Below are 8,333 nucleotides of genomic sequence, written 5' to 3' on the forward strand. Positions count from 1 at the left end.
GTATTTTAATTAAATTGCTGAGTTCGGGATGGAGTCCATTTACAAATAGAGCACTTAATGCCGTTTCAGTCCTTGCAGGAAATACTTCTTGTTGTACTTGGATCCCAGAATGTTTCACAAACAGCATTTCTAAGTGAGTTCTGTAATCTGAAACTGAAATCTTTTTTTTTGTTATGTTTACAAGATTGTATGATGGACCAGTCCATTTTTTGCGGAAAAATTTTAGGAATTGAATTTAAAAGGTTTTCAGCAATTTTTCCAGCGACTTTTGGTCCTTCTTGTGAGGAGCTTTTGGAGGGGTCTTTAACATCCTCCTCAGGTTTGCCCCATTCTGCTGCTGCCGTCCATTTCCGAGCTTTACCAGGCCCCAATATCACGGGAATACATTAGTGAAGGTCAGGAAGTCCTGGATCATAAGCTCCTATGAGGATTCTAAATTCCTCAGTAAATTTTTGAGGATTTTCTCTTGGATCAGGCAAGTCCCTCACAATGGCTCTAAGCTCAGTTTTAGACCATGGAGTGAAAGTAGTTACAGCAGGCAGGCATGACTGATCAGAAAGTCTCACTTTGTAAGGTGCCTGTCTAACTTATTATTATTTTTTTAATCGTCTTCAGGGTGAAAGGGTAATATATACATATTTTTTATTTTTTATTTTTTTGAGACAGGGTCTCACTCTGTCACCCAAGCTGGAGTGCAGTGGTATGATCTCGGCTCACTGCAACCTCTGCCTCCTGGGTTCAAGCAATTCTCCTGCCTCAGCCTCCCGAGTGGCTGGGATTACAGGCACGCAGCACCACGCCCAGCTAATTTTGTATTTTTAGTAGAGACGAGGTTTCACCATATTGGCCAGGCTGGTCTCAAACTCCTGATCTCAGGTGATCCACCCACCTCGGCCTCCCAAAGTGCTGGGATTATAGGCATGAGCCACCAAGCCTGGCCTGAAAGGGTAATTTAGCAAAAAGGTTAGTGGACTCAGAGTATGTAGGTAGAGAAGGATAAAGAGAAGGAACAGTCAGGATGAGGTCAGTCACAGTACAGTCCTCTTTCATCATGTCGTTAGTTTGTTGCTTAAGCTTTTCGTTTGCTTTTTGCAAAGAATCTTTTAAGGAGTCAATTTTTGATTCATTTACTCTTTTAGGGGCTTCTGCATACCAATAAAAGAATACACATCCCACTGTTTTATGGGGTTTTTCATTCCCCCTTTTCTAATATGCCTCATAAATAAACAATTTTATCCAAATTAAAACTTCCCCATTGCAGCCATCTTAATTCTAAGTTTTCTTTAGTTAGGTTAACCCATTTTTCTAAAAATGCACAAGTTCTGGGCCCATAATTTTTATGCATAAAATTAGCTGGAGTCCCAGAATGTGGAGTCCCAGACTCCTTGGATTGAGAGGGTTGCATCTGAGCTGGTTCCAGCCTTGGAGTAGGGGCTGCTGCTGGTCCCAGGCTCCATGCTGGGGGCCTGGTGGCCAGATGGAAGGTTCAGCTTTGCAGCGGTCACACCTGCTGGGTGAATGGGTGTTCTAAGGGTGCTCGTTGGCACAGGTGGCTGTGACTCATATCTGGGAAAGTGTGAGGGAAGCGCACAGAGGGCAGCCGTCCCTTTGGTGTCAGGGCTCCGTCCCCATGGGCAGTGCTCCTTGGAAAAAGTCAGCTACTCCTTTGGATCCTGGGGAGCAAAAGGCACCTAAGGCAGTGAGTAGTCCACAGAGGCCAGGTCAGCCTGGTGACCAGGAGGTGTCCTGCCCAGCAGCAGGACAGGTTCTGTGTGAAACTGGAATCTGGAGGTGGCCTGGGCTGACAGGTGGGTGGAGGGTGTCTGGATGGCTTTGTCCACTCCCGTCTGTAAGTGCTTAGCCACTCTGCAGGTGAGACCCTAGGAAGGGAAGCCCTGGTTGGTGCCAGGGGTTGATTAGAAGATGCCCTTGCAGGCATGGTGGCTCATGCTTGTAATCCCAGCACTGTGGGAGGCTGAGGCAGAAGGACTGCTTGAGCTCAGGAGTTCAAGACCAGCTTGGGCAAGATGGTGAAACCCTGTCTCTATAAAAAATTTAAAAAATTAGCATGTGCTTGTGGTCCCAGCTACTTGAGAGGCTGAGGTGGCAGGATAGCTTGAGTCCATGAGATCAAGGCTGCAGTGAGCCAAGATGGCACCACTGTACTCCAGCCTGGGTCACAGAGTGAGACCCTGTCGTAAAGCAAACAAACAAACAAACAAACAAAAAACCCCCCCAACCCCATAAAGTTAGCAGATGGAAGGAAATAATAAAGATTAGAGCAGAGATAAATGGGATAGAGGAGAGAGGAGCACTAGAGGAAATCAGTGAAAACATGTTCCTTCCATGAAAGGTTAACAAAATTGAGAAACCTTTAGCTAGTTGACTAAGAAAAAAAGAGATAAGACTCAAATTACTAAAATCAGAAATGACAGGGTGACATCACCAATGACCCCACGGAAATAAAAAGGATTTATAAAGAGAATGCTAGGAACAATTGTAGGCCAACTAGTTGGTTAACGTAAATGAAATGGACACATTCCTAGAAACATACAAACTACCACACCTGAGTCAAGAAATGGAAAATCTAAACAGACCTGTCAGAGTGAGGAGATTGAGTCAGTGATCAGAAACTTTCCCACAAAGAAAAGCCCAGAACCAGGTGACTTCACTGGCGTATCCTCCCAGACATTTAACATGTAACACCAATCCTTCTCAGACTTCTCAAAATCTTCAATATGATACACCGTCTCCCTAGAATGAAGGGAAAAACCCATCATCCCAATTCACGCAGAAAAAGCATTTGACAAAATCCAACACTGTCATGATAAGAGCACTCAATAAAAGAGAAATAGAAGGGAACTTCCTCAACAGGATTAAGAGTACTTACGAAAAACTCACACCTACTGTGACTCGGTGGTGAAAGGCTGAGAGCTCTCTGCCTCAGATGAAGAACGAGACAAGGATGCCTGCTTTCACCACTTCACTCCAACATCGTGATGGAAGTTTGACCAGAGCAATTAGGCAAGACAAAGAAATAAAGGCACTGAAATTGGAAAGAAAGAAGTAAAAGTATCTCTGTTTTTTGTTTTGTTTTGTTTTGTTTTTTGAGATGGAGTCTCGCCCTGTCGCCCAGGCTGGAGTGCAGTGGCGCAATCTCGGCTCACTGCAACCTCTGCCTCCCAGGTTCAAGTGACTCTCCTGCCTCAGTCTCCCGAGTAGCTGGGATTACAGATGCGCACCACCACGCCCAGCTAATTTTTGTATTGTTAGTAGAGACGGGGTTTCACCATGTTGGCCAGGCTGGTCTTGAACTCCTGACCTTGTGGTCCACCCGCCTCGGCCTCCCAAAGTGTTGGGATTACAGGCATGAGCCACTGCGCCTGGCCAAGTATCTCTGTTTATTGATGACATGAACTTATGTGTAGAAAATTCTATGGAATAAAAATAATCTTAGAGTTAATGAACAATTTCAGCAAAGTTGCAGCAGAGATGAGGAATACACATACAGATCAGTGGAATACAGTTGAGAATCAGGAGATAAATCCATACATGTATGTCAATTGATTTTCAACATGGCTATCAGGATCATTCAGTGAGGCAGAAACAGTCTCTTCCACAAATGGTGCCAGCAGAACTGGATATCCTCAGGCAAAAGAGGGAAGTTGGAGCCTTACCTAATACCATATAAAATATTGACTTAAAAGGAATTAAAGACCTAAATTTGAGAAATGAAACTTTAACACTCGGCCGGGTGTGGTGGCTCATGCCTGTAATCTTAGCACTTTGGGAGGCTGAGGCGTGTGGAACGCCTGTGGCCAGGAGTTCGAGACCAGCCTGGCCAACATGGCAAAATCTGTCTCTATTAAAAATACAAAAAAAAAAAAAAAAACCAGACATGGTGGCACATGCCTGTAATCCCAGCTACTCGGGTGGCTGAGGCACGAGAATTGTTTGAACACCGGAGGCGGAGGCTGCAGTGAGCCGAGGTCACGCCACTGCACTCACTCCAGCCTAGGCAGGGGGAAGAAAAATGACACTCTTAGAGAAAAGAGCAAATCTCTATGCCCTTTGATTTGGAAATGGTTTCTTAAATATACAAAAAGCACAAACAACAGAAGAAAAAAAACAGGTAAATTGGACTTCATTGAAATTAAAACCCCTTAAGTACACCCTGAAAAGAATGAAAAGCAAACCCACAGGATGGTAGAAAATATTTGCAAATTATAAATCTGACAACGGTTTTATATCCAGAATATATACAGACTTTTTACTGCTCGACATCAAAACACAAATAACCTAATTAAAAATGGGTAAAAGACTTGCAGAGACATTTCTTCAAAGCAGATGTACAAGTAAGTGGCCAGTAGCACAGGAAAAGATGATTCGCATCCCGAGGTGTTGGAGAAATGTAAACCAAAACCACAGTGAGATCCCACTCCACACCCACTAGGTGGCCACATTTTACAAAATGAGAGTAACGACGGCTGGAGAGGATGTTGAGGAAACCGAAGCCTCATATTTTGCTGGAGTAAGTGTAAAATGGTGTAGTGGCTGGAAAGCAGTTTGGCAGTTCCCCAGAAAATTCAGCATAGTGCTACCATTTGACTCCGTGATTTCTTTTTTTTTTTTTTTTTTTTTTTTTTGAGACGGAGTCTCGCTCTGTCGCCCAGGCTGGAGTGCAGTGGCGGGATCTCGGCTCACTGCAAGCTCCGCCTCCCGGGTTCACGCCATTCTCCTGCCTCAGCCTCCCGAGTAGCTGGGACTACAGGCGCCCGCCACTACGCCCGGCTAATTTTTTGTATTTTTAGTAGAGACGGGGTTTCACCGTTTTAGCCGGGATGGTCTCGATCTCCTGACCTCGTGATCCGCCCGCCTCGGCCTCCCAAAGTGCTGGGATTACAGGCGTGAGCCACCGCGCCCGGCCCCGTGATTTCTTTCCTAGGTATATACCCAAAAGAATTGAATACAAGCTGGGTGTGGTGGCTCATGCCTATAATGCCAGCACTTTGGGAGGATGAGGTAGGAGGATCACCTGAGGCCAGGAGTAGCTCAAGATCAGTCTAGGCAACACAGTAAGACCTCATCTCTCCAAAAAAAAAAAAAAAAAAAAAAAAAAAAAAAAAATTTAGTCGGGTGTGATGACGTGTGCCTGTAATCCCAACTACTCAGGAGCCTGAGGTGAGAGGATTGCTTGAACCTGGGTTGTCGAGGCTGCAGTGAGCCATGATTGTGCCATTGCACTCCAGCCTGGGCAGGCAACAGAGTGAGACCCTGTCTCAAAAAAAAAGTATGGTCTGTCCATACAGTGGAATATTATCCAGCCATAAGGAGGGATGAGGTATTGATATATGCTACAAAGCTGATGAACCTTGAAAACATCTAAGTGCAAGAAACCCTTCAGCGAAGGCCACACGTGATATGATTTCACTTGTATGAAAAATCCAGAGAAGGTAGACGAATAGACGGGTGGCAGATTCGCGGCTGACAGCAGGGGGAGCTCTAATGGGAGCTCAGGGGCCAGCTCTGGTGCTAGAGGCGCCGAGTGGGAGATGGGGCGTGACTACTTACCAGGGGCAGGGTTTCCGTTTGGGGTGATGGAAGTGTTTAGAACTGAGAGTGGTGATGGTGCCCAGGATGGTGAATGTAGTGAATACCACTCAGTTGTACAATTGGGTACGTTTTAAAAGGTAAACTTTAGGCCGGGCGCGGTGGCTCATGCCTGTAATCCCAGCACTTTGGGGGCCGAGGCGGGCGGATCACGAGGTCAGGAGTTCAAGACCAGCCTGGCCAACATGGTGAACCCCCCTGTCTCTACTAAAAATACAAAAATTAGCTGGGCATGGTGGCAGGCACCTGTAATCCCAGCTACGCGAGAGCTGAGGCGGGAGAATTGCTTGAACTCCGGAGGCGGAGGTTGCAGTGAGCTGAGATCATGCCATTGCACTCCAGCCTGACGACAGAGAAATACTCCGTGTCAAAAAAAAAAAAGTAACCTTTATTTTATATGAATTTTATAACATAAAATACAGGTAACTATAAAGTATATGAATAAAAGAAAACCAGGCAGGAAAAAAAGAATGCCTTGACAGGTGAGGGCCATGAAGGTTCTGGTCCTGGGGCTGGCACTGGCTGTATCTTGGGAGCTGGGACTGGAGCTGGTGCCAGAGCTGATTCTAGCTGTGGTTCTGGGCCAGCGACTGGCTCTCCCTCTGGAGGTGATGGCAGAGTCGGGTTTGACGTGCAGCCGGCACTAGCCTTAGCTGTGAGGTGGATGCTGGAGTGGCTCTAGGTCAGGAGGTGATACTACAGGAGGTTCTGGACCTGTATCCGAAATGAAAACTCTCACTGGCTGTCTCCTTGAATTGGTGCTGGGGCAGGTCATAGCTCTAGAGATGGCACCAGAGTTGGCGTTAGAGCTGCCTCTATCCCTGGAGTTGCTGGGAGTGGTGGTGCTTGAGCGATTTCTGGATTGGTGTTGGAGCTAGAGCTCTTGTTGCAGCTGGGGTTAGCTCTAGAGATGGTATCCGAGTTGAGAGAGCTGCCTCTATCTCTGGAGTTGCTTTGGTGTTGGAGCTAGAGCTCTTGTTTAGGCTCTGGAGGCAGCACAGGCTCTAGCTTGGAGCTAGTGCTAGAGTTGGCTCTGGACCTGACTTCCTCTGAATCTGGTGCTGGCCATAGTATGAGCCTGGCATTGACTCTAATTCTGTAATCATTTTGGAGCCGGTTCAAGCTCTAGAGCTGGTGCTAGAACTACCATTGCAGCTAGTGCAGCAATTTGTGATAAAGGTGCCCAAACTCCGGATTTGATGTTCAAGTTCGTACTGGAGCTAGATCTACCTCCGCTGATGGTGCTAGAGCTGTTTCTGGAGCTGCTTGTAGCTCTGAAGCTAGTGCTGGGGCCATCTGTAGCTCTGCAGCTGGTGCGGGAGCTGCTGCTGGCCCGGGCTCTACCTCTGGAGCTGATGCGAGAGCCAGTGCTGCCACTGGCTCTTCCTCTGAACTTGGCACTGGGTCTAGCTCCATGTCTGGTGCTGGCTCCAATTCTGAATTGGTTGGGGAGCTCGTTCTGGCTCTAGATGAGGACTGTGGGGACCATCAGCCTCCGCTCAGGCTGGGCATGCTGCCTGGATGGCCCAGAACTGGTCACTTGTCAAAACAGTCCTGCAGGAGAGGTCCGTCTGTACCCAGAGAGGCCTGAGTGAGGGGACCAGGGACTGCCCACCTGCCTGGCACCCCAGGACGCTCTTGTACCTGTTGTCTTGTCCTTGTCCGGGCCGATGTGGATGACGTGGCGTCGCCTACCTGCAGGTTGTAGAGCAGCGTGAGGAGCTGTGGCTGCAGAGCCCTGAGACTGAGAATTTGAAGGTGGGTTTAGCAGCCGTGGTGTGCTGGAGGCTGAAGAGGAGGAGGTGCTGCTGGAGTCGGAGTTGGTGCCGGAGGTCCCTGCGGATGACAGCAAGGTCGATTCCCAGAACTGAGGGGAATAGCAAGATCAGCAGAAGCCTGGACCCTGCAGGGCTTCTGAGGCCAGCGTCCCCCTCTGGGGCTTGTTAGCAGCTCCATTCAGCAGTCAGGGGTTTGTTGCTTCTTTTTTGGGTGCAGAGTGGGGAACGCAGGCACCGGCTGGGAGGGGACATAGAATGAAAGAGCTGTCAGGGAGAAGGGCAAGCAGTCGCCTTCTTTCCCTGCCATTAGGGGGCTCCAGGACAAAGCTGACATTGATCTCCTTCACTTTGCAGCTGGAGGAGCCGGCTGAGTGCACGCTGAGTGCATTGGCAATGTCCCGGCTGCTGAGGGAGGAGCTCACCTGAGCTGGTCTCAGGGCTTGAGTGGAAGCTGCCTCTGGTCCTGAGCTCCCTGCTGGGGGCCTGGCGGCTGGAAGGGCAGCTTCACCATTGTCAGATCTGCTGGCTGAGTGGGTGCTCTAGGATGCCCCGGGCATGGATGGCAGTGACCTGTACTAGAAGGGTGTCAGGGACATGCTGGTGGGGGGGGGGGCAGCACGTGGGGCCAACAGGGCTCGGAGCATGGTGGCAGCACCTGCTGGAAAGGGTTAGCTGGTCCTCTGGTTCCCAGGGCACAGAAGGCAATTATGGCGGTCCACTGAGGCCAGGTCAGCCTGGTGACCAGCAGGTGTTTTATCCAACAGAAGGACAGAGCCCCTGGAGTCTGGGGTGGCCTGGGCTTGCAGGTGGCTGGAAGGTGCCTGACTGGCCTGGTCCCCTCCAGTCTGTAAGTGCCTAGCCAGCAGCCAGACCCTGGGGAGGGCGGCCCTGTGGTGAGTCAGCACAGGAGATGGCTGAGAGGATGCCCTTGGGAATCTCCAGTCC

At 48.9% G+C, this 8,333-nt stretch overlaps 1 annotated feature.

Annotated features, from left to right (window-relative positions):
- Positions 6,726-7,593: an enhancer, noted in NCBI's record as "H3K4me1 hESC enhancer chr9:136062831-136063698 (GRCh37/hg19 assembly coordinates)". NCBI's record gives its function as "activates a minimal SCP1, AML or CMV promoter by ChIP-STARR-seq in naive H9 embryonic stem cells {active_cell/tissue: H9 hESC(naive)}" and the evidence as "EXISTENCE:reporter gene assay evidence [ECO:0000049][PMID:30033119]".

This window comes from Homo sapiens, chromosome 9, assembly GCF_000001405.40.
Source record: "Homo sapiens chromosome 9, GRCh38.p14 Primary Assembly".
Lineage (NCBI taxonomy): Eukaryota > Metazoa > Chordata > Mammalia > Primates > Hominidae > Homo > Homo sapiens.